The sequence below is a fragment of the Homo sapiens genome, chromosome 1 (assembly GCF_000001405.40).
Source record: "Homo sapiens chromosome 1, GRCh38.p14 Primary Assembly".
Classification (NCBI taxonomy): Eukaryota; Metazoa; Chordata; class Mammalia; order Primates; family Hominidae; genus Homo; species Homo sapiens.
This window is the reverse complement of record NC_000001.11, coordinates 117684504-117711685: the sequence shown is the minus strand read 5'-3', so window position 1 is coordinate 117711685 and position 27182 is coordinate 117684504. Positions and strand designations below refer to the sequence as shown.

General features: G+C 42.8%; 1 non-coding gene and 1 pseudogene across 1 annotated transcript, besides 2 other annotated features; both read left to right on the top strand.

The window, feature by feature from the left end:
- On the top strand, window positions 11427–12257 carry LOC100192389 (anaphase promoting complex subunit 13 pseudogene; annotated as a pseudogene).
- Window positions 12326–12905: an enhancer, noted in NCBI's record as "NANOG hESC enhancer chr1:118241403-118241982 (GRCh37/hg19 assembly coordinates)". NCBI's record gives its function as "activates a minimal SCP1, AML or CMV promoter by ChIP-STARR-seq in primed H9 embryonic stem cells {active_cell/tissue: H9 hESC(primed)}" and the evidence as "EXISTENCE:reporter gene assay evidence [ECO:0000049][PMID:30033119]".
- Window positions 12954–13129: a silencer, noted in NCBI's record as "fragment chr1:118241179-118241354 (GRCh37/hg19 assembly coordinates)". NCBI's record gives its function as "represses an EF-1alpha promoter that drives an FKBP-Casp9 reporter gene in an ReSE screen in HepG2 liver carcinoma cells {active_cell/tissue: HepG2}" and the evidence as "EXISTENCE:reporter gene assay evidence [ECO:0000049][PMID:32094911]".
- Window positions 22944–23065, top strand: LOC124900444 (small nucleolar RNA SNORA40). The gene has a single exon (XR_007067399.1). It is a non-coding gene; the product is annotated as a small nucleolar RNA SNORA40 (small nucleolar RNA).
- The last annotated feature ends 4117 nt before the right edge of the window (window positions 23066–27182 follow it).

Sequence of the window (27182 nt, the reverse complement as noted above, 5' to 3'; positions counted from 1 at the left end):
ACCATTTCTGTGTTAACCTTGGCTGGTTGCTCCGTCTCCTCATCTCTGAAGAGCTGTTGTGAGGACCAGATGAGACATATGTAAAGTGCTTAGATTAGTGCCTGGTATATAGCAAGTGTTCACCAATTCTGTTACTATAACAATGCCATGACAGAACGATGGCATCTATGCTCTAGAGCATTCTTCTTGAAAACGTAGGGTTGTACTGGGGCACACAGCTGGGAAGACAACAGGAGCTGGAATCCAGCTTGCACTCCACTCTTCAAAACTGGGATAGAGCTGTGCCCACCCAGGGAAAGGCGTGCCTTTTAAAAGTAGCTCCTGACCCCACTCCTCTTTCCTTCTTCCTTATGAATTGAACAGTTATAAAAGACAAGAACTGACAACATTGAGCAAGATTTTCCATTTGGAAAAAATTTAATCTGGTGTTGAAAGAAGTTTAATCAAAAGAAGTCCAATCTGGTGTCAACTTGTATCCCAATGGACAGCTCCTTGGAGATACATATCTTCTAAAAGTCTTGACCTCACTAACCTTTGACTATAAAATAAGGCCCCATTTCCTTTTATAACCAAATTGTAATAACTCTGAGCCCCCACCTACTAAATTGAAGCTCAGGCATTTGCGCAGGTTGTCGTCCACAAATGTTCCTAAAAATTGCATGCGTACAGGCACACTGCAATACCCCCCACCCCACACCCCATCTGTGCCACTTATCCCAGCCTCAGTCTTTCTTTTTGCTCTCCTGCTGCCACCTGCTGGAAGAGAAGGGACTCAGATTCGCAGAGTGGGCTGACCTTAGGACCACCACGCTCTGAACTACCTGTCTCCATCTCAGCTACTTCCAACCTGCAGGTATGGCTGAGCATGTGCCAAGGTCTTGGGCGATCTCCAGAGATAAGGACTGACTGAGCCGGGACCACCCAGCCTGCTGTCCCCACAGCTGCCTGTATGTTTATTTGTCCACCCGATCTTGGTGCTCCTCAAGGAAGGAGAGAAGCCAGCCTGCAAGGAGGATGCCTAACAGAAAACCCACTCGGGCCCTATGTGTGCAAGTCATAATGGCACAACTCTTTTTGTTCACACATGTAGCCTTTTTCTGTTCGCCCAACAGGATTCCCTAATTGGGCCATGGTCCACGTGGTCCCCCATATCAGCTGCACACTGTGCCTAGGAGAGGCACTCTCCTTCATGAGCTCTGCTCCTTCCCACCTCCTTCTTTGTGCAGTGTTTCCTCTTGGGGTCCCTCACTGCCTTTTCTATTGTCAGGACTTCACCAAGGCCACCTAGTTCACACAAGCCTTAATTATTGCGGAAGTCTAGAAAAAGAGGTTGTAACCCTGACACCTTTTTTCCAGGGCCCTTGCAAATTCCTGGATACAATTAATACTGGAGGCTCCACATGGCAGTTGTCAAGACCCCAAAGCCAAAGATGTGTTGCAGAAGGGCTGGTGTCTAACCCTTCCCCTCCAGCAACACAGCAGCAGGCCACTGCCTGCCCAAGGCCCTGGACATCACTTAACCCACCCACACTCATGTGTTCTGTGTGTACAAGTGTTCTCTTCAAGGCTTTGCAAGATTCGCCAGTTTGATCACCCTCCAATCCCACACTGAGCTCTTTCATCTGCCCATTAAGTAGAGACCTAATTAGTTATAGACCTCAGAGCAAGTTACTTCTGGAGCCCACCTGGTGATGCCTGGGAGTCTATGACCCATGCAGCAGGGGACAGGAACAAAAGACTAGACCCAGAAATCTCCACAGGAAATGAAGGACATGGGCCTGTTCTATGCGGGAAGTAAAAAAATAGATTCAGAAATGGGCTCCTAAGTTAGGGTTACCAGATTTAGCAAACAAAAATGCAGGAAGCCCAGTTAAATTTGAATTTCAGATACATAGCAAATACTTTTGTGTATAAGTATGTCCTGTGCAATATTCAGGCATCCTGTGTTTTCTCTGGCACCTCTATCCCAAGGCCCTTCGAGCTACTGTCATGCCCACTTAGCACTCACTGAAGCCACAGAACCACATAACTGCCCACAGCCTGCTCAAAACTTTATTTCACAGCCTGGGTGCCTGAGAGGTAGTCACGGGTCGTACACTGCCTTTGTGTTGGCCGCATGGATGTGAACCACACAGCCGGGAGGTAAACCAGAATAAACAGCCCTCAGCTGGAAGAAAAGAGGATCTTTTCCAGGAAGAGATTTAGAAGAGAGGATGCAGGCTCCTGCTTTTATGAGGAGGGTCCCACCCAGTGTGCTGGCCTCTTGACTTTAACAGCTCCCATATGTTTTTCTTGGAGGAATACTTTGGGGAGACCTGCTTTGTGGCATGCATGCTCTCCAAAGGAATGGGAAGCTTTTCTCCTGCAGACAAGCATTTCATGGAGTAGTTCCATTCCTCTAAACTCTAAATGTGTTTGTTCCCCCAGTGAAAGGAAAAGGAGGTGCAAGCTGGAGAAGAGGCGGCCAGACCAGGAGTCCAGGAGGCTGCTGTCCAAATGGGCCTTGGCCACTACTGCCTGGCAGACGGATTGCTCACAGTGGAGAGGGGCCCAAGGCGGTGACCTGGATCAGCCTCCTAAGAACAGTCTCCCTGCATCCTCATCAGGACCCTGTGGGGATTTCCAGCATTTTCAAACCTAAATGATGCAGAAAGGAATGATCATAAAAATACCTTATCCTTGAAAGCTGACAAAGCATTTTTATAAACATTATCTTATTAGGCCCTCGCAACAACCCCGTGAGGCAGGAGGGCCAATAACGGCAGGGAGGAGTGTGATAAAATGGACCTGGAGTTTGTTTTAATCAGGCATGGTAAGAAATGGAAATGATTGTCAGGGAGGAAAAAGTTTATACTCACAGGCCTCTAGAACAGGAGGTACGGCGTGCCACGCAGGCCACCCCAGGAAGCGCTGGGTCGGTCAGGAGGCAGAAGTGGGGAGGGGAGAGGAGAGTATGCATGGCTCAGGGCCTTTACTGGGGTTCCTGTGGGAAGGAATGGGCAAGGTACTGCAACTATGCTGAGTAAGTTCAGCTTTGGGTAGTTTGGATAATTTCAGTAGGTTCTGGGCTATAGGCGTGATCCCTAGTTGTCCAGGACTTGGCCCTGGGGTGGTTTAGGGCAGGGGAGATATTGCATTGGTGTGTGAGCGTTTGATAAAGGAGAGGGTTGGGGGTGCAGGCTCTGGATTGGCTGGTTTGCATATCAAAAGCATGCTCCACGGGGAGCCATTTGCTTACTCTGGGGATTAGCTAGCCCTAGAAATCTCTCTAGGATCGAAGCCCCAATTTCCAGAGCATACAGAATATAGAAACTAAGCAAATGTTGTCAATATAGGGAGGCTAGAGACACAACTTCCTCAGAATTACAAGGCTGGTGTGGGACAGAGCTGGGACTTAAACCCGGGTGTCCTGGCCCCAGCCCAGGGATCATTCCAAGACACTCAGATGCCCTGTTTCTCCTTCCAGGTGACTTGGGTGACCAGAACAAACCCTCTGAGCAGGGTGACCAACTTTTCCTGTTTATCCAGGGACCAAAGGTTTTCCAGGACATGAACCCTTCAGTGCTAAAGCCAGGACAGTCCCAGGCAAACTGTGATGGTTGGCCACCCTGCTTGTGAGCCAGAAGGGACTCTCTTCCTGCTTTCACTCCATCCTTCTGACAGAGATCACTTAAGCAAGGCCTTAGCCTGGGACAAACGGGAATTGGAAAGAAGGCAGAAGAGTAAGAGAAGGGATTTGAGGACCATGCAGTCTCACTTCTTAGTCTTTGACGAAGCTGATCCTTCTGCCTGGAGCCTCCTACTCTCTCCAGTTTCCTCTTCCACCTCCCACCCCCCATTCACTTAATTCTTAAATATGCTTCAGATCTCCTGCCAGGAACTAGAATACAAACTCCTCCAGCAGCATCTCAGACCTCCTCAAAACTGTTAGGTGCTCCATGGACTCCCAGTGTATAATTACTTCATCACAAAATTTTGTGTTATGCTTGTTTCCTTACCTATCTCTTCCCCTAGAAAGCAATAACATGAGGGCAGGGGTGCATCTTCATGTATTTATTAGTTCAACAAATATTGATTGATTACTTACTGTGTCAGGTACTAGGCTAGATACATTGTATCCTGGAGATCCAATTATGAGGAAAACAGATGCAGTCCCTGCCCTCATGGAGCTTACAGTCTGTTGCTGGCTGAGGCAGATGTTAATCAAATAATCACACAAGTACAAGTAAAACTACAAATATGTTAGTAATCATTTATTTTGATTACCAGCTAATAAGTACAACACAGGAGAAGTACCCAATGCTAGGTGAGCTTATAACAGGGGGACCAGCAAGGCAGGGGTATTAGAGAAACTTCCCTCAGGAAGTGATGATGGAGTGGACATTGGAGTGAGGCCAAGAAGGGGTGAATTAGGAAGAGGGTCAGAGCCTGGAGAGTGCTGTTGGCAAAAGGAGGCCTCTGTTCCCTTATTTCAGGAGTGAAGACAGCACTTTACAGCAATGGTTCTTAATGGGGGTGATTTCACCTCAGGTGACATCTGACAACAGTGACATTCAGTCATATTTGGAGATTTTTTTTTTTGTCACAATTTAGGGGACGGGTTCCCATTGGTATCTAGTAGGTAGAAGCTAGAGATGCTACTAAACATCCTACAACCTACAGGACAATCCCTCACCACAAAGAATTATCTGGCCCAAAATGTCACTGGTGCCCCTGTTGGCAGAGCAGAGAGCGAAGGGAGTGGGGAGAGTGTGGTGTGAGCAGAGGCTGGAAACCCTGAAGGTCTTGTTGTCAGGGTGACATGATGAGATCGATGTTTTGGAAAGACCAGTTTAGCTATAGTGTGGAGAATGGAACAGACAAGGGTGGAAACGGAATGACTAAATAGTGGACAAGTGTAATAGTCCAGTTGGCAGATGATGGTGGCTTGGACCAGGACTTTAATGATGAAGAGAGCACTGAATGGATTCCTCAACCATTTAGAAGGTAATATAACAAGACTTGGGATCAGGGTTGGAGCAGAAGGAGGAATCAAATAGGACTCCTGATTTTCTGGCTTAAGTACCTGGATAGTTGGTAATAATAGCTAGTATGTGTCACTCTACCCTATGAGGAAACTAAGGCACAGTGAGTAGGGGGCATGGCCAGTCCTCACCATAGACAGCAAGTCTGGCGCCCATGCTCTCTGCCAGTCTAAGTGGCCTCTCTGTGCAATGGTGCTATTCACTCAGTTGGGGGAACTCTGGGTGGGACCCAGTCAGGGGCCGTGGCACATGAGCCCACATTGAGTGTATTTGAGTTTGAGGTCAAGGAAGAGAGCTAGAGGCCCAGGCTGAAACCCAGAGGAGAAGTGCTCCTCAGAGGTGTATATCCTCACAGGCTGAAAACGTGCCCACCACATAGCCGGGACTCTGAGAGTAGTTGTTGAATGGGCTGGTGGATTAATTAACTGGTTAACATCCCCATCAAGCTACCAATGACTTTCTTCACAGAATTGGAAAAAACTACTTTAAAGCTCATATGGAACCAAAAAAGAGCCCGCATTGCCAAGTCAATCCTAAGCCAAAAGAACAAAGCTGGAGGCATCACACCACCTGACTTCAAACTATACTACAGGGCTACAGTAACCAAAACAGCATGGTACTGGTACAAAAACAGAGACATAGACCAATGGAACAGCACAGAGCCCTCAGAAATAATACCACATATCTACAACTATCTGATCTTTGACAAACCTGACAAAAACAAGAAATGGGGAAAGGATTCCCTATTTAACAAATGCTACTGGGAAAACTGGCTAGCCATATGTAGAAAGCTGAAACTGGATCCCTTCCTTACACTTTATACAAAAATTAATTCAAGATGGATTAAAGACTTAAATGTTAGACCTAAAACCATAAAAACCCTAGATGAAAACCTAGGCAATACCATTCAGGACATAGGCATGGGCAAGGACTTCATGTCTAAAACACCAAAAGCAATGGCAACAAAAGCCAAAATTGACAAATGGAATCTAATCAAACTAAAGAGCTTCTGCACAGCAAAAGAAACTACCATCAGAGTGAACAGGCAGGCTACAGAATGGGAGAAAATTTTTGCAATCTACTCATCTGACAAAGGGCTAATATCCAGAATCTGCAAAGAACTCAAACAAATTTACAAGAAAAAAACAAACAACACCATCAAAAAGTGGGTGAAGGATATGAAGAGACACTTCTCAAAAGAAGACATTTATGCAGCCAAAAAACACATGAAAAAATGCTCATCATCACTGGCCATCAGAGAAATGCAAATCAAAACCACAATGAGATACCATCTCACACCAGTTAGAATGGTGATCATTAAAAAGTCAGGAAACAACAGGTGCTGGAGAGGATATGGAGAAACAGGAATACTTTTACTCTGTTGGTGGAACTGTAAACTAGTTCAACCATTGTGGAGGACAGTGTGGTGATTCCTCAGTGATCTAGAACTAGAAATACCATTTGACCCAGCCATCCCATTACTGGGTGTATACCCAAAGGATTATAAATCATGCTGCTATAAAGACACATGCACACATATGTTTATTGTGACACTACTCACAATAGCAAAGACTTGGAACCAACCCAAATGTCCAGCAATGATAGACTGGATTGAGAAAATGTGGCACATATACACCACGGAATACTATGCAGCCATAAAAAATGATGAGTTCATGTCCTTTGTAGGGACATGGATGAAGCTGGAAACCATCATTCTCAGCAAACTATTGCAAGGACAGAAAACCAAACACTGCATGTTCTCACTCATAGGTGGGAAATGAATAATGAGAACACTTGGATACAGAAAGGGAAACATCATGCGCCAGGGCCTGTTGTGGGGTGGGGGAAGGGGGGAGGGATAGCATTAGGAGATATACCTAATGTTAAATGACGAGTTAATAGGTGCAGCACACCAATGGCACATGTATACATATGTAACAAACCTGCACTTTGTGCACATGTACCATAGAACTTAAAATATAATAAAATATATATTTTTTTAAAAAAAAGAAATTTGACCAAAAATTAATAAACATCACAACTTAGAAAAAAAAAAGTAATTAGTTGTACTGAGACAACTGCAAGATAGACCTTGTCTGCAGGGACTTCATAGTCCCAGGAAAACCACAAGAACTTGCAGGTATTGGAACTCTGCTCAGCCCAGCCTTAAACTCAGTCATCCTTTTGTCTCCTACCTTACCCCAGGTCTTGGGAGGCAAAGTCCAATGTCTGTGAGGAAACTCTTTGAGCTTCCCAAACTGGGAGACCAGAATTCAGTTGTCAGGACATCTTTAGCCAATCAGTGACAAACACAAAATTAAAAAAAAAAAAGAAAAAGTCAAAAACAAAAACCTGAGGCGTGCACGCATGTGTGTGCATGTGCACAGGCCATCCCCTCCCTCCATATGTTCTACCCACCTAGGCCTCTGGGAGGTCGCTTGTTATACTGGAGAGTTCTATATCCTCCTACTGCTTCAATGCTGCCTGAGAACAAAATGAGGAGGCCCGCCTGAGATACGGAAAAGCAGCTCTTCAAAGCTTCTGCCTAATTTTGTGTGGCCACCAGAAGGTCTAAAGCTAGGTGATGGGCTTCACTTTCCTACACAGGCAGGCCCAGGGCTTGGCTGTTTCCCTGATAATGAGAAAGCTTAGTTTGTTTGTGGGCTGGGGGTTAACTTAGGCAGGCTGTTTTCTTGTCTTATGGAATGGCACACTCATAATGCACAGCTACATAATGCACAGGGCTGAGTGCAAAAGGGAAATGCCTGTGCAAAAATCAAGAATTTCAAGACAGCAACAGCAAAGCATTAAACCATATGTGGGGCCCTTCTGAGCACAGGGCCCTGTATAACTGCTGTGGCATGTTGGTGAAGCCAGCCTTGTGGGGTGGAGTGGGGAACAGAGCAGGGAGCCTACCTCACATTTTCTGTCTGCTGCCTTCCGCCTGCGTGGAGCTGAACCAGATCCCGGGAGGAGCAGACCAACCTCAACAGCAGAGTCTGTTGAGTGCAGCCACAGCAGACCAGAAGAGCACCTTCTAAAGGACAACCTCTTTTCCCTGAGGTATATAAGAAGAAGTGACCCCTGAAGAGGAGAGACTGGTTCTTCTCCACTCCCCCAGCTTCCAACATCAACCCCCCCATAGCTAGGCACACCTCTCTACCTTTCGTCCTTGTGCCTCAGGCTACCTGTTTGGACTTCCTTACGTTGAAATGTTGCTTTTTCTGTCCATTTTTCCTTTTTACTTAATTAATTAAACAAATATTCGTTGACTGCCTGCTGTCTGCCTGGCACAGCTCTAGGCCCTAGTGATACAGTTGTGTGTACTGATGTAGCCATACTGATGAAAATACTGAGGTCACCTCTACCAGGTGGTAAATAGCTGCTACCCCACGTCATCCTCCACTCCCCTTTCCCCTGCCCCCTCCCCGCCCTCCACTGTGGCCATACTAGACTCTTTCCCAGGTCTCTAGGATCTCCCAAAGATCCGGCATCTAAAAGATCTGCTCTAGAGCTATGGGCAGTGTCAGCTCTGGTTGGTCAGGAAGCAAAAATAAGAGATCATTTTTGGTGTTCAGAGAAGATTTCTTGCAGAATGTGACATTGGAGCAGAGACCTGAGTGAAATGAGGGAGTGAGTAACATGTGAAGATCTGAATCAAGGGGATCTAGGAGGAAGGAACAGCAGATGCAAAAGAACCCCAAATAAAATCAAGTGCCAAGTTCAAGGACACAAAGAGGCCCTTGTGGCTAAAGTAAGGGGAGGAGATAAGGTCAACAGGAAGCCAGGGAGCACATCATGAAGGCCTTGTACCTCAGAGTCTGGAATTTGGGTTTCCTTATAAGTGTGATGGAAAACCAGTGGAGAGTTTCCAGCAGACAAGTGACAGGAACTGACTCACATTTTAACAGATCACTGTGGCTGCCATGAGTGGAAGGACAGGGCCAGTCAGGTCGCCCATGTGATAGCCCAACGAGAAGTTCCTGATCCCACTGGAGGTCCGGCTGGAACTTCAGAGAGAGGGATGGTGTACAAGGAAACTTGGCTCTTGCCTCCAGGTCTCCTAGGCGGAGTCTTGTACTGAGGAGACAGAGATTGCATGAATGCAAAGCTCCACAGAGAGAGGAAGCTGTGTGGTGAGAAGGCATGGGTTTGTAAGCTTGCAATGTCAGATGTGCCTACCTTCCAGTCCATGCCTCAATAGGGCTAACTTAGCTGGATTTCTTTGGAAACATGGCTTATCTTCTCTGCATTTCTGTTTCCCCTACGGTGAAAAGAGAGTTAAAACTAATTATAACACCTACACAGCATTCATTATGTGCCACCCACTTTTCTGAGTGTTTTATATGCAGTAATTCACTCACTCCTCCCACAACCCCATGAAGAGATACAATTATCACTCTATTTTATAGAAAGGGAAGCTGAGGCCCAAGATATTAAGTGATTTTTCTCAAAACCTTACAGTTTGTGTATGGAGGAGCTGAAATTTGAATCCAGGTATTTAGCCCAGGATTCCCGCTTTTCATCATTGTACTCTAACACCTACTTTACAGAATCACAGTGAGGATTAGTTAAGACAAGGCATATAATTTATCTGGCACAATCCTCAACATTCTAAGACCGAAGACACTTACCAGACTCTTACAGAAACAGTCAAATATGAAAAGAATAATTAAAAGCAAAACAAAACATGAGAGCCCTGGAATCAGAGTGCTTCAAAGACGGTGTGCACACAAAGATGCTTGATGCAGTATAGTCTGCTATACAGATAGCAGCAACCGGAAACAACGTAACTGTCCATCCTGTGAGAATGGATCAATTAACTCTAGTTTATTTATCCAATGAAGTACAACACAGTAGTGAAGATGAATAAACATAGCGAAGTCTCAGAAACTAAGTTGGAAAAAAGGGAGAAACCAAGTTGCAGATGAATATATACAGCATGACAACACTTACAAAAAGCTGAGAACATAAAAATAGTCTATGCATTATTTATGAATGTACATCTATCTATATTAATATACAATACATCTATATTATATATAGAGAGAGACAATGGGAGAGAAGAAAGTATGGATAGGAAAGAAACACTGTCAGAGTGGAGAGCTCTGGCAATGAGCAGAGGGCATTGGGAGGGAAGATGGAAGTTCCATGATAATTGTAATTTTATTCCATTGAAAAACAGATCTGAAGCAAATATGACAAAACGTTCTCACCTGTTAAAGCTCAGTGAAGGTAAAGAGTTTCTGTTTCATGATAACAGCTAATATTTGTTGGGAGCTTACTGTATGCCAGAACTACTGTGGAAGCTTTACAGGTATGAATGCACTCAATCCTTTAAAGCAATCCTATGAGGTTATTCTAATATAATTTAGACTCATATAGGCAAGGGAATCAAAGCACAGAAAGCTTAAATAACTTACTCAATATTATACTGTTCACAGGTGGTGTGGCACTGGATGGGACTTACATGCCAGCAGTTTGACTACAAAACTGTGCTATGCTGCCTTCTGGAAAGCATAAAAACTATGCTTCTACATGCTGACTGTGTGCCAGCACTGCTCAGTCTCCCAGATGAGTGTTGTTGCCCCTATTTGACAGAGGAGGAAGCTAAGGTGCACGAAGGGACAATAACCTGTCCAACTGTCACTCAGTGGTAGGAGGGAGTGTTGGGATTTGAACCTAGGCAGTTCAGTTCTAGAGTCTGTGCTCTTAACAGTCACACAAAACCACCACTTGAGGTACCATCTCTTATATTATTTTCACTATTTTGATGCATGCTTGAAATACCTTATAATTTGAATATTTTAATTAAAACAAAATTAATTAAAAATAGAAGGAGGTTTATCAAGAGTCAAACACCATGGAGAATGAAGATACTGACAATACTGATGGGTGTGATCTGGAAGGAGTCAGGGTGGCTTTTTCCATTTACCATCAGGGCTCAGCTGCCCTTTGCCTCTGTTCCCTTTATTCCCTGGTTCTAGCCTCCCTTGCTCTTCCTCCACACTGGGTTGTAATCATCTGTTTCTGTCTGTCTCCTCCACAGACTATGAGATCTTTGAAGATAAGTCTATTTTGAATTTATCTTTGTGCCCCCAAGAGCAGTGCTTACTAAACAGTTGATATAAAATAACTATTGCTGGGTGAATAATGAGATCCCAAAAAGATGCCAACTGCTTCCCACTCTTGCCACCCAATGCACCCCAACCCACACAAGAGCTCACAGCTCTGCTGGTCCTCACTAAGGAAAGATGGGGCCCCAGCTCTGGTCTCACCATAGCTTTCATACAGGGGCCAAGATGTAAGACAGTGGAGGAAGAATGAGAGGGGACAAAAATCAACCAAAATTGGCCCACTGGAAGTGGGTGCTGTGCTGAGCCAGGTGCCCATCTGATAAAAATCAAGGTTTCAGGAGATTGGATAGTGAGGTACAGAGAGATGGGGGATCTTGGGTTTGATTGAGAATGATTGACTGTAAGACAAGCTGCCTTATGAGGATGTTGCAACACCACTGAGTGAGTTTTCTGAACCTGAACAAGGCAACAGCAGCACCACAGAATCTGTCAAAACACAAGAAATGAAGTGGACAAACCTAGCTTACATTACCTCCACAAGAACACTGCCCCCACATCAGAAATGGACACCTAGCTCTCTTTTTATGGGTGGATTTTTTTAAAATGCATGGATACAAAATGTTTTCTTTCAGTTTCCTAATTTAAATCTAATCTAAATCCCAATTTAAACCTTTTAGTAATAAAAATTAAAAAAGATATACCCATTTGGCTGTGGCAGCAAAGTGCAATGTGAAAACATTTCCCAGAATAAGAAACTGAGATTTCTCAGGAATGCAGAGGATTTGAGTCTTTGAGCCTAAAATTCTTCATATGCTAGCTTGTATTTGAACATGATTGGTTAAACACTTGCCTTTAACTCTGATTTGACTTTACTGTGAGAGTTTAGCACTTCCCAAAGAGTTATCCGTGTCCAGTGAAAAAAGAAGATTGAAGATATAAGAGAGAAAGGCAAAGAAAGAGGAAGCCAGACGTAACAATTATTAACTTCTCATATTACCCCTATTTTCAGAAGCCTTCTGAGTGGATATGCAGGAAACTTATAGATATCATGAATATAGAGATATCCCAGTCACTAATTTCTGAGATTTCTAAGACTCTCCAAGGTATTTTCAAACTTTGAATAAATTTGCAAATTAAAAAGTTATCTGACAGTTAAAATTTTATATATCAACCAGAGGCACACACTAGGGCCTTGATAACATTGTTGTGGTCTTCTAGCTGATAGGCCAAAGAAAGAGGCTGACAAATCCAGTTTCTTAGAAAGAAACATTTAGTAAGGATGTAATGAACAGAAGCCATGTCTGTGTCTTGTTTGGCCACAAGACAAGATGGTGGATCCCCCTACCATTACCCACCAGACCCAGGGATTATATACCACAGGGGAGGGGCACACTTGCCTCAGAGGGAATGAGTAGGGACTTGCCCTAAGGGCAGGCTTTAAGGTGTTTTCTCTTTTAGAAAAGAAACTCTTTTAAGTGTTTCTCTTTTAGAAAAAGAAAGAAAGAAAAGATGTGTAGATGTTCTTACACAAAGAACAATAGATAAACTGGAGCTCTAAAAGGCATTCCTGGAACTGGGGTTAATCAGAAGTCAACCTGGCAGGTTAGCATCCAAGATGGAGCTGCTTTAGTCTCCACAGAGGATCATTAATCCTAATTCTCTGCCAACGCTTTTATCTTCAGAGAAAGAGAATGTGCTGTAACCATATCTTTTATATATCTAATTATAAACTATTCCTTAGAAAAGAGAGGGCTTTTTAGCTTATTGTAAAACTTCCCATTCCGTGTGTTAATTAAGAAAACAGCTAGCCAGAATATCTTTAAGTAATTTTTCTCTCCTTCAAGCTTCTAGACAAAAACAAACCTCTGTGTTATCTTGGGTTCCTCTTGCTCCCTTACCTCCCACACCCAGGAGGCTGCCAAGTGCTGTCAGTCCTGCCCTTGCAACATCTCTTCTGTCGTCCCCACCCCTCTCTCCTGCTGCTGCTTCGGAGTTAGCTTCCTTGCTGGCCTTCTGGTTTCCTGTCTGTCCTCCTCCACTCTGTTGTCCCCATTACTGGTAGATTCATCTTTGTCCAGCGCCTGGGACACAGTCATGGCTTAGAAATGCTCATCAACTCTGAAGCTCTGATTTTTCCAACATCTTATTCAGAATTCTGCAGGCATCCCTCAACCCCATACATGAAGTCTGAACTCTCTAGCCTGCCACTCCAGGCCCTCCCTCATCTGACATCAGCCTACCTGTCCTTGTCACCTACCTGCTCTCATCAGGGAGCTTACATTCTGGACATGCTAAGAAGGACCTGCTTCTAGTGCTCTCCTGCTCCTCATCCTTTGCTCATGGTGTTTTCTCTACTTGCAATGCCTTGTCCCCCAAATACTACCTATTCTGCAAGACTCAAATCCAGTGCCACCTCCTTCTTGAAGCTGTTCCCAATCCCACACAGCCAGGTACATCCTCTCCTTCCTCTGCACTCACTTAGCACTCTCTGTCTCTCATGTGGAACTATTTAAGTACATGTCATTTTGCGTAGTTTGAGAGCAGCATTTGTGTGCATTTGTGTCTTCAGTGCAATGCCACACGTAAAGTGTACAACAGGGTTCCTGGTACACAGTAGGTATTCAATAAAGGTGGGAGCCTCCCCCTTCTGGTAGACGTTTTGAAAGATGAACCACTAAAATCTCATGGCAGCAACAGCAGAACTCCTTTTCTTGAGAAACCCAGGGGGTTCACATTGTGTCTGTCTGCTTATTTTAAGGAAGGTGACATGATGTAGCAGAACACAGCAGACCTGAGTCTGAGTCTGGGCTCTGCCATATAATTCCTTAGAGATTTCAGAACATTTGCCTAACTTCTTTACATTTTTCATCATTAGGGTAGCTTTCTTATTACTATATTAGAACTGTAGAAATTAGGCTTATGAAGCAAGGAGATCCCCTAAAGAGAAAGACTCAGATAAGACCTTTGTTCTTTCACATAATGACAAGGTGATGGACAGACAGATGAGGACAGACAGGAGACTCTATTCTCCCAAGCCATCCATGGCCCCAGCTTCTTTTTGTTCATTGCTCTGCCATTGCCCAGATAAACTAAAGCTTACTCATCAGCTCCACAACCATATCTCTTTCTAGATCCCAGGAAGGCAAGCAAAGAGAAAATAGCTCCTTTTATAAGGACTTCACCCCTAAAGTTGCACAGTCACTTTTGTTCAAATCCTATTGACTAGAATGATATGACCACACTTAGCTACAAGGGAGGCTGAGAAAGGCTTAGCAATCCCAGGCCTCTGATTCTTCAGTCATCCTATTCAGCAATAACTGGGAAGCCACATATACTACCAAAACTCAGAGTAGGAAGGTTCTGTTACCAAAATAAAGCTAAGAATGAATATGGGGGAACAAATACCAGTCTTTGCCATGCCTACCTCACAAAGTTGTTGCAAAGATTAAATGCTAAGATTGGAAAAGCACCCAACATTATGTGCAGCAAAGTAAATACTCATTCCTTCTAATGGAGATCAGCCTTCTCCACTTGCCTAGCAGCTTTCCACATAGCAAGCTCTCACTATGTTTTTAATGAATGAATGCTTACATAAATGAGCTCATTTTAAAGGCTCACCATTGCCAAATAGATAAAACCATTTGTAATTTGCTTATAATTGTTGTTGTATGAAAGCTTGCTGCCAAAGTAGTTTACTGTTTAAGTGGATAGGAATCTCTCTTTCTACATCATCAATTTGCTAAACAAATGGAATTATGCTGAATACTCCTAAGCCTCAAAAATTCCCAAATGAGCCGGACTAACATTATTAGATATCTACTGGCTTAGTATGTGATTGCTAAGCTACATTTTATGTGGATCTCTGCCATTTCTCCAAAGAGCAGATAGCACATTAAGTGATCCATGCCAGCCCCTCACATTCTTTGGTTTGAGCATTTATGCTTAGACTGTCTCCAGGGACACCAGGATGGAGAAGTGGATGGGCAGGCCAGTGGGGGTTCTGCTCTCCTGGAAGCCCCAGGAGAAACTGAGAGCATTAGGGGAGCCCTGCAGCTGGAGGTCTCTGCAGCCTGTGACTCCTGGGAATAAAGGACATGGGGGAAGGCTGTTCCAGATTGAGAGTGGGTGGCTCAGCTGTCAGGGATACCTGGGATTTTTCTCCCCCATGTTAAGCACTTAGCAGCCTCAAAATCCATTTCTGTTTAGTTTAGGCCTGTTGCTAGGGCTCTAGTGCTGTAGCCTGTTGCCTTAGTCAGTGGAGTCTCAGACTACTTTGCCGGAAAGTTCTTCAGCAGTGACTCAGCAAAGGACTTACAATGTCCAGAAATTGTCATTTAAAGCAATTCCCAGAGCTCTGGGAAACAGAGCAAACTGACGTAAACAGAAAAGCAACTTTTGGATGGCTAGAGAGAAGCAGCTACTGCTTCACTAGATGCAGGGTCCAGAGAAAGCCCTGGAAATGACCAGCAAAGGGTGCAAACCCGCCTTCACCCCCTTCCCAAACAAACTCTGTGAGAACCCAGGGCAGCCCCGCTGGAGGGAGGAATCAGGGTGGTTGTGACCGCCACCAATCAGCCAATCAGCACCAACGCTCTAACAACCCAGATTCCCCAGTTCTGGTCTGGCAGCTTCCCCTGTCTCTCTTCCTCCCTCAGCATCATCTCACTGGAAACAACTTCCCACTCCCTCCTCTTCGATTCCGTCAGAGTTGCTGTGTTAACCTCTTCTCTACCTTCTCGAAACCTCAGGATTTATATACTAAGATATTTCCTGAAATTGGATTGTGCTAACCAAATCTCTCATAATCTGCTCTTGGCTAGCTAATTGGACTCCTAGTTTAGTATCAAGATTTCTGGCAAGAAAATGCATTTTTAATTATGTATGTGTATGTGTGTAATCATATGGGTGTATATATAGATATATGTGTGTATATATAACTGTATGCGTGTGAATATAAATGTGTATATATGCACATATATATATATATATATATATATAATATAATAATATTTTGGGATGCCTCCTATGTCTCAGGCATTGTTCCATGTACAAGAATACAGCAGTGAGTAAAACAGGCTAAGAACCTTCCTCCATGAAGATTAGGGCAGACTCACAATAAATAAATATTACATAGTATGTGGGTATCTGTACACATACTATGTGCACACACACGCACACACGTACACACACAGTGGCTGGCACATAGCAAGTTTTCAATAATTAGATGTCCATTAAAAATAATGAGAGCAGCCAGGTGTGTTGGCTTATGCCTGTAATCCCAGCATTTTTGGAGGCAGAGATGGGAAGATCGCTTGAGCCCAGGAGTTTGAGTTGAGACTAGCCTTGGCAACGTAGTGAGACCCTGTCTCTATAAAAAAAAAAAAAAATTAATTAGCTGAGCATGATGGCTCATGCCTGTGATTCCAGCTACTAGGAAGGCTGAGGTGGGGGGATTGCTTGAGCCCAGGAGTTCAAGGCTGCAGTGAACTATGATCGTGCCACTGCACTCCGCTGGCCTAGGTGACAGAGCGGGACTCTGTCTCAAATAAAAATAAAATAATGTGAACTAATATATATTGAGTATTTATTATGTGCCAAGTGCTTTTTAAATTCTTAATAACCCTATAAAATAGAAGCTAGTATTATCTCCATTTACAGATGGAAAACTGAGGCCGAGAGAGATCATACAGCTAGGAGGTAGGAATGTGCGATCTGAGCCCAGACACTGTCTTTAGACCCTTCCTTCCTTATTCTTCCTCTTGAAAATGGGCTGTCTTTATAAAAAGGCAAGCTGTAAACTGCTCTATGTCTGCCGGTGCTATTCTAAGAAGAGCAAGTCTCTTAGAATAGAGGCTTTTCTTAGAAGAAAAAAAGTCTGGGGCAAAGAGAAACTTTAAGCTGGGTTAGCAACACAGCTCTGGAACTATTTTGACTATGTTGCCTGCAACATAATTTTTCTCTCCAGTTCTGCTTTTATCTGACAGCAGGAAAGAGGCAAAAAAAAAAAAAAAAAAAAAAAAAAGACAGCCTTTCCTCAGGTAAATCATAAACATATAGTTTTAAGTGTTTCTCGTTTAGAAAAAGAAAGAAAGAAAAGACAAGGCTAAGTGATCTCAATATATTTTTCCACATGGAGCACCTGAGAGAGAACATAATTCTTGTTGATTCTCAAAAGAGTGAAAGGAAAAGGTGGGGAAAGGAATCAGAAAAAATACCTTCAGGAGGGTTCTGATTACTGGTCAAGCCCTGCCTCAAGCCTTTGAGACCCACTGGGCTAAATAAAAGTTTCTTATAAAGGATTTCAGGAATCAAGACGTTAAAGAGCTCCAAAGGGCCTTAAATGAAAGGGTTAAGCCTAAAAATGATTCACTGTGAGTTATTTTTATAATCACTATATTTTAGTTGGTATTTGCTGAGTACCTACTCTGTACAAAGGAGCTTGCTAGATCTCTTATAGACATTATCTAATTTAGAGTTAGAAATGTGTTATCTGCATGAGCTTGAAAGAAAACCAGAAATTGGCTGGGCGTGGTGGCTCATGCCTGTAATCCCTACACTTTGGGAGGACGAGGCAGGCTGATCACTTGAGGCCAGGAGTTTGAGACTATCCTGGCCAACATGATGAAACCCTGTCTCTACTAAAAATACAAAAATTAGCTGGGCGTGGTGGCACAATAGTCCCAGCTACTTGGGAGCCTGAGGCAAGAAAATTGCTGGAACCCAGGAGGTGGAGGTTGCAGTGAGCCGATTGCATTGCACCACTGCACCACTCCAGCCTGGGCAACAGAGCAATACTCTGAGAAAGGAAAGGAAAGGAAAGGGAAAAGGGAAGGGAAAAGGAAGAAAGAAAAGAGAGACAGAAAAAGAAGAAAGAAAGAAAGAAAAGAAAGAAAGAAAGAGAGAAAGAGAAAGAAAGAAAGGAAAGAAAGAAAGAAAGAAAGAAAGAAAGAAAGAAAGAAAGAAAGAAAGGAAGAAAGAAAGGAAGGAAGGAAGAAAGGAAGGAAGAAAGAAAGGAAGGAAGGAAGGAAGAAAGAAAGGAAGAAAAACGAAAGGAAGGAAGGAAGAAAAAAGGAAGGAAGGAAGGGGACAGAAAGAGAGAAGGGAAGGAAGGAAGGAAGGGAAGGAAACCAGAAATTGGTTTTTATTAATGGTGTTTATTAATGGTGAATAAAAAACAGAACAAATTCTACCTGTGTAATGATTTAAATCTTGTTCTAAATGGAATATCAATTTTACACAGTCATTGCTATGTCAAGTTAACATTTTTTAAATTAAAAAGGTGTGAATAGAAAAACTTAATTCTCCCATTTATGTCTATGACAAACCCCTCTGTATGGCTTATCATATTGTCCTCAGCAAAGTACATTAATTACCTGTTTAGTGTATGAGGGGATAACAGCTTGGTACTGGAGATACAAAAACTGTAAGAATATGCTAATATGATAAAGAGAGTCTAAAACTCACCTGTGAAAATAAACATGTACAAATGGAGAATCAAGAGGCCAGGGAATAAAAACTGCCCTAAGTGATACTAAAATATATTGAGAATCTCAAAAAAAATAAATGTAAGACATGGATTCTCTCCCTGGGGATCCTGTAGTGTGGTTTGGGAGATGGAACTTCTATGTAGGAATGTACAGGGCACGGCAGATAACCATGCTCAGAGTCAAATGAGCAATGTGGGTGAGAAGAGTGGAAGTTCAGAGAGCAGAGGGCTCTTTCGGAGCTAAGGATGCCAGGAAAAGCCTCAGAGTCACACACATTGATAATTTTTTTGTTAATTATCACTTCTGGATTTTAGAATCAACTCCTTGTTTTCTTTTCTCCCTTACCAAATCACCAGTATCTTCCTATCCAAAAGCCATGTTGGTCTTGAACCTAGTCTAATAATCTCCTATTTTCAGATAATGAATGTTTTAATCAGTCAGTCGACGCTATCTAGTGCGTCCTAGTGTGTACAGACAGTGGTAAACATTGCAGGACAAAATGATTGAAGGAAGCAGAGGAAATAACCTTCATTTCCCAAACTGAAGTGGATACTTGTTGGGGAAGCTGCCTGTCTCACAAGAACTGCCCCTTCTCTTGGTACAACCTGTGATACACAGGCTGCACAACTACCTCCATCCCCCAGCAGACCCTTTCTGTACTGCATAATCCTGCCCTGGCCGTAGTCAGATGCCAGTTCTAAACTGGGCCAACTTCAGATTCTATCCTCAGAAACACTAAACCTGACTTTCACTGAGGCTGATTCACATTACTAGCAGGGTTCCAGACAGAAGGGTCACAAATTCCCACTACTAAGGCCTTTAGCATGGCCCTGGTTTCTGTCCTTCCCACAGGTTAGTTGCTTATTCAATAATTTGCCCTCTATAGGTGCCCTAGTATTCCTTTTTTTAGAGATAGCATCTTGCTCTGTCACACAGGGTGGAGTGCAATGGTGTAATCACAGCTCACTATAACCTCAAACTCCTGGGCTCAAGTGATACTGCTGCCTCAGCCTCCCAAGTAGCACGTAGCTGAAACTACAGGTGCACACCGCCATACTTGGATAATTTTTTAATTTTTATTCTTGTAGAGACAGGGTCTTGCTATGTTACCCAGTCTGGTCTCAAACACCTGGCCTCAAGTGATCCTCCTGCCTTGGCATCTCAAAGTGCTGGGATTACAGGTGTAAGCCACTGTGCCTAGCCTATATTTTTTTCAATAAATGTCCTCGCCTCATTATTTTTTGCCAAAACCAACTAGAGTCAGTATCTAATGTTTTCAAATAAGAGGAAAAATAAATAATTTATGAATTGTTTCTAGAGAGTATGCTGTGAATTCTAGACCTTCAAGAAAAATGTAATGGGTCATTTTATTGAGGTGGAAGTGAAGGAAGGCAGTAATCTACTCTATATTTGGAGATATGAAATTAGGAATGCTTGCTAAAAAGTAGCAAAACAGCAATAAATGAATTTCTTGTGGTCAACTAGAAACTGGGAAAAAGGTATTGGGGGACCCAGTAGCTGGCACCATAAGCAATTTGAAAGAAAGGAGACAAGCTGAGACCACAGGTTAGATGGTTGTTTTGAGTGTATCAGGATAACCTAATGTAAAAGAACAGCAAACTTAGTCCTGTAAGTCTCTCCTATAGGCGTAAAATCAAAGTCAAAGTCTTAATATGATCCCACTAGCTACTAGCCTGAAATAACAAAAAACCAAATTTAGAAATTGATGTTTTAAGGTATTGAATTATACCTCCACTTGCATGTATAAACTAGGTTTCATATGTAGATACAGCATGATCAGGAAAGAGTAAAATCCTAGAGATGGAAACTGAGATACCATGGGAGGAGTCAGAGGAACTGGGGAAAGCCTTCTGGCCTCTCTGAAATGTTCCCACATTGCACCACCATTCCCACCAACCAGAAGAAACTAACAATCCAGCCCACTGGGCTCCCTCTGTTCAGCAATGCCCACTGTACGGCCAGCATTTGAACTCTTCCTGGACTAGATGGGGTTATGCAGAATCAATGCAGAGAAGAAAGAAGTTATACACAGAGACTAGCTAAGGAATATCATTAAGACTGGGGATATTCTGTTGGCATAGATTTTGAGGATAGGGTGTGTTATTAGCGGTTTCATTTACTAAGTAATCCATAGCCTGATGAATATCAGATGGGATCTCAATATAACTAAAAAAGGAATGAAGACTACCCAGCTATCTAGATTTAGAAAAAAATGGCTCTGTGGTGTAACCTTGGATTCAGTAGTTGGTGTGACTTTGCACTGTAGTTCATTGCATTTGTGGTTATCAGGTCATGTTGAATAGGAGCATCTTGGGACATATGGGATGAAGTGTATAGTGTGTGTGTGTGTGTGTGTGTGTGTGTGTGTGTGTGTATGTGTTTAATGCTAAGCAGCTAAAAAGGAAAATGTAATAGTCACCACATGGAGCTGGTACCTGATGCCCTCTTCTCTGAGTACAGTCTCTGAAACTCAGAATGAGCCCATGAAGCCTTTTTCTGTATTATGTGGCATCCTCTGCTCCCACCACAATAGCTGGATGCAGTGGTGTACCAAAGGCTGGGCAAGGAAAGCAGTCTGCCTGGGGGAAGGCAATAAAGAAATCTGTAGAGAATTTATAAACAATAATAAAGCCAACTAGAAGTCAGTCTGCTTTTTATTATCACCATGTGCCGGCAATTCCAAACAATGTCAGTGATAAAGCACTCCTTCCCAAATAAAAGCTTTTGTGGGTCTAAGTTCTAAACCATTGCTTTGTTACTACTGAGTTTTAATAATATGCATGTAAGCTTCAAATTAGCACTTTTTTATTACTTATCCTTTATAGCTTGCATTCTACTTAGAAGTTAATTCAAACTCCCAGTTATACAGTCACGCCCCAATACACACGAACTCAGCCACACACATTTGTTTTGAATAAGTTCCTGACAGTTTGAAAATCATTCAAGCTGACTTCACGTGCCCAACCCCATGGTGCCACATACCCCTGCATCTAGACAGTAGATTCAAAATAACAATAATATTAGTGATTAGAGAAGTTAAGGAACAGAATTTGAGTTACTTTGATTCCATCATTCTGTGAATGCCAGGAGAAATGACAAAAGATGCTGGTCTTATGCTGCCAGCAAAAATCAAAAGAGCAATGTATAAATGTCTTGATCATTATCACCAAGAACTGGACACCTGATATAAAGCAATGGGTAGAATAATGTTAGTATTTGCTAATATTCAGACATGAATGCTGATATTTTTATTGAAACATAACTGTACATATTTATTGGGTACATGTGATATTTTGATACATGCATACAATATGTAATGATCAAATTAGGGTATTTAAGATATTCATTACCTCAAAAATGTATCATTTCTTTATGTTGGGACTATTTCGCATCTTCTCTTCTAGCTATTTTAAAATATACAATAAATTAGTATTAACTATAGTCACCCTACAGAACTATTGAACACTAGAACTTATTCCTTCTATCTAACTACATGTTCACACTCATTAACCAACCTTTCTTCATTCCCCCTGAACATCCCTTCCCAACTTCTGGTAACCATCATTCTACTCTCTACCTCCGTAAGATCAACTTTTTTAGCTTCCACAGATGAGTGAGAACACGAAATATTTGTCTTTCTGTGCCTGGCTTATTTCACTTAATATGTTGACCTCCAGTTCCATCCATGTGGCTGCAAATGACAGGATTTCATTCCTTTTTATGGCTGAATAGCATTTCATTGTATATATATACCACATTTTCTTTTACCCCTTCATTCATCAATAAACACTTACATTGATTCCATATCTTGGCTTTTGTGAATAGTGCTAGAATACACATGGTGCGCTGGTATCCTTTTGATATACTTTCTTTTGGATTTGCTTTCTTTTGGCTAAATACCCAGTAGTAGGAATGCTGGATTGTATGGTAGTACTATTTTTAGTTTTTTGAGTAAACTCCATACCATTTTCCATAGTGGCTATACTAATTTACATTTCTACTCACAGTGTATAAGAGTTCCCTTTTCTCTGCATCCTCATCCATATTTGTTATTTTTTGTCTTTTTTTATAATAGCCATTCTAACTGAGGTGAGGTGGTGTCTCATTGTGGTTTTGATTTGGGTTTCCCTGATGATTAGTGATGTTGAACCTTTTTTCAAATACCTGTTGGCCATTTGTATGTCTTCTTTTGAGAAATGTCTATTTGGGTCTTTTGCCCATTTTTAATGGGATTATTTGGTGCGGGGAGAGGTTGCTGTTAAGTTGTTTGTAACTCTAATTTTTGTACAACAAAAATTTTGGAAGTTTTAACTAATAATAATAAAACATATGACTGCACTTGTGTTTTTGTTTAACTGTGAACAAAGACTTATAGAGAAGTGCAAAAAATAAATCCTCTTTTGCAACCCAGAACTCATTGTTTAGTAAGGGTTTTGATACATATAAAAGAGATATTACAATTTTTTAAACGATGAATTTTCTAATTTTTTTAGAAATTTTTCAACTGTGTCAGCATTTGAAAGCTACTAGACTCATTCCCTGAGACATGAAAACATGGATGGCATTGTAATTTCTAGAACTTCTTGTAAAATGAGATTTTTGTGAGTCTCTGCTAAACTTATCCTTCTGTTTAAAACTTTTTCTATTTACTTATATGTTACTTCAGATGAATTTTTTTAATTAAAATTAATAAGAAGTATGAGCAAAGATAGCGTGACATACCTTATTATATTGACTATTGAGGATAAATATGCAAAGATTAATTTTGATAAAATTATTTACAAGTTTGCAAAAGTTACAGCCTGAAAATGAAAATTGTGATATATTATCATTCATTACTGTGACAGACCAGTACACAAGTCTAAATTTATTTTTTCTCCAAAAAATTAATGTAATAAAAGTATTATTTCATTACTTTTCCCTTTATTATACTGTAATAATTATTTTGTATCATATTGTTTATTTATATTTTATTAGCATCACTGTATATACACAGTTTAATAAATTGTTTTTTCACTGTTTGCATTTCTTTCTTGGCATCATCATCAGCTATATTGATGCATACATTAACTGTATTTCATGATTATCAATGAAAATAACTTTGTTGGGGAGGTGTTACAAAATTATTCACTTCAGGTATCTAATATGCCAGACATCTCACTAGCTGGCTGATCCAGGGCACATAACTGACCAAACTGGGGCCCCTCGACTCCCTCCCCAGGAAGGTGAAGCATGGCTCTGAGCAGCAAGGGGCTGGACTCAGTGGAAGCTGAGTCGTGTGATCAGCAGCACCATAGAGTCCGTGAACTCCCACCATAGAGGCCCTACAGCGGCCCTGCTCTGACCTTCCCACAGCCCCCTTGGGTTGTGAGATACTCCAGAATCATTCCAATAAACCTCCCTTCTGCCCCTTTTGCCCTTAGACCCAGGATCAGTTTCTACTACTAGAAGAGCTATTTTTCCACAAGGAAGGACATACTGGTAGAGGAGGAAGGGTGGCATGGGAATGGAATAGCAGGGAAAGAACTCTGCCAGCCAAAGCGTCTGAAATGCGAGCACACACCAATGCTCTGCTGCTCACTCTGCAAGGACGACCCACAGGAACACCTGGCACAACAGAGTGGGGTGTGTGAGTGGGACACTGGGAGGGACAGGAGTAAAAAGACACCTGAAGGGGAGGCTCCCTGTGCACCTGGAGCCCCACACCTCCCTTCTCCCCCAGGAAGCCTCCTAGCCCAGGATCTTTTTCCAGCCATCTAAAGATGTGGGTTGTGCCCTGCTGAAGAAGTGACAGTGACATCAGCCCTTAGGTGGCTACTAACACTTGTAAAACATCTGATGTCCAGGTTAGATATAAGCTGTGGACATCCATAGAACTGTCTACCCCGCCTGCTCTCAGCCCCATAGCAAGGCAAGAGTGTCCTGATTCTTGCATGTCCCCACCCCCCCAGCTAACTGACCCAGGGATGGTCTCTGACTCATGCTGAACCAATGAACTTCCCCAGGAATTTTTAACCGGACCTTGAGGAAATCAAGGTCAGACTCCCTCTCATAGTGGAAGCTATGGCCAGTCATGTTTCCAGAAAGCTGGATTGCAGTGATGAAGGGACAGGCAGAGATAAACAGAACAAAATAATAGGTGGCATCTGAGTCTCTTGTTCTAGCCACATCCTTGAGGCTTGGTTGTTCTACATGTCAGGATTCTTAGACGAATAAATTCCTTGTTTTGCTTATTGAGGTGAGGTCTTGGTATTTGCAATCAAAGTTACACAGGTTGTGTGAACCTTAAACCTGCTGGGTTACTTTTTGAAAACAAGAACAAAATTGAGAGATCAGAAAACATGAGCAGCCATCACACCAATCCACCTGCCAGCTGTGACTTGTGATTGTCATACCTGGCAGTTGCATACTTGAGACTGTGCTGTGTCTGGTTTCACTGTGCTGCCTGCACTTGGTGGGGCCAACCAGCAGTGGGCAGAGAGCACCCCTAGGAGGGCTGGGGCGGCTGTACCCACCTGCAGCTCCCATGACAGTTTCATTCTCAGGATGGGGTCCAGCTGCCTGCCTTAGACAGTGGCCTATCTAAGGACTCCACATACCCCACTGTTGCCTCCTGCTGGATTTCTTCTCTCCATACTTTACCCCCCAGGGCTTACATCTCACAGGGAGGAAACCCTCTTCTCTATCCTGATTTAGTGGAAGGGAGAAAATCGTCTCCAGGGAGCTGTCTTGTGGGGTCCAGAGGAGACAAAGAAAGGAACTGATATTTCCCTACACCTGTGATGTGCCTGGCACTTTTATGTAGGCCATCCCATGTAATCCTGACCATAACCACGTGAGGCAGGTGTTGTTATCCTCATTTTACTTGACAGCTCAACCAGAGTGTTATTCTTCCTCGTGTCTGTAAATAGCACATGTCCTTGGCAGCCACCGTTCTCTCCCCACCCATTTTTCAGCCTTGTTTTCCACACAAGAAGCAACACGGTTAGAAAGCCAGCTACTGCTGACTCCTGAATGTTAGATGCCAGGGGAAGTCTCTATTTTCATACCAAACCTGGTTTCCTGGTGGGCACACAAATTGTTGCCTGCTAAAATAGCAACTCTGGCAAAAATGTCTCCAATCTGCTTAGATGTGCATCAAATTAGGAGCTGGCCTTGCAGTTAAACCAATTGACTGCTTCTAATGACCTGGAAACAAAACTCCCTTTAAAGCTACCAACTGTTGGCCTAGAATCATCAGCACCACTAGAAACATGGGGCCCTAAAACAAAGCCTCCTGATGTCTTTGATTTATTTCAACCCCATCCCTCTCCATCACTATTCTTTACTCTCTTCCAGCCCCTGCAGGCCAGGACAAGATTGCCTTCAAGCATACACACACACATACGCACTAACAGTTATAGATGGTATCAGCCGAGCACAGGCTGGGGGCCATGGTCTCTGCCTTCAAGAAGAGGAGATGCTCGACTCTCGACTGTCTCTCTTGCACTGCTCATGCTCTCTCTGTGTGCCCTCAGCCTTTAGCCAATCAAGACCAGAGTCACAAGATCAGTTTCCACAGCCACTTTCAACAAAAGTTGATAGCACTGTCATAAACTCAAATGCCTTTGGGGACCTCGCAGGTCACAACAAAATAGTTGACATTTTCTCCAACATGATGGGCTGTCTCGAAACTTTTGTGGCTGCTGTTCCATCTGGCTCAACACACTTCCTCCCTGGTTTCTCCAGGTGGCTCACTCTTCACCTCCCTCCAGTCTTTCCTGGAGGGTCATCTCCTCAGTGAGGCCCCCCGACCACCCTATTTTAACTGCACCCAAGCACTGTCCCCTTACTTTCCTGCTTCGTCTTTTTCCGTAGCGTTTATCACGATGCTTACTAAATAATCTGTCTCTCCCATGCCTCCACCAGGCTATAGGTGCCATAAGGGCAGAGATTTGTCTGTTTTGTTCCCTCATGTATCCCCTGTCCCTAATATGGCCTGGCTTACAGCAAGCATCCAAATAAATATTCATTGTATACCCTAAACACTTGGATGTATTAATCCTCCCAACGAACCTGTGAGACAGGTACCATGATGATGATAATGATAATGACAATGATGATGCCCATTTTATAGATGAAGCTGGAGTACAGAGAGGTCAAGGTGCACAGCTAGTAAGAGGGAGCTTCCTGAACTCAGACCCATGAGGTCTGGCCTCACACCACACCAGCAATCACTGCAGTGCTTCTCACACTCTCTGTACAATGTGGCAGAGGCTGGTAGCAACTGTGACAATTGGAAAATGCATACCCTGCCTTAAAACATTGTTTTTCTAAAAATCCTGTTCTAAACTAAAAAAAAAAAAAAAAAAAAAAAAAATCTGTTTGCCTTATTTGGCCCTCAGGCCACAAGTTAAATGGGGATTAACCTAAAGTAGGCACTGTAGATAAAAAGTAGGATTTTATTGGGTTGGGAAGGAATAGCGATTTAAAGAAAGATTACCCAACCAAAGTCAGGTGTTGAGGAATCCATAGGTATTTTTTGCTCGGTTATTTTCCCTTTGTGGCAAGAAGTTCCATGCTAAGGGAGGGTC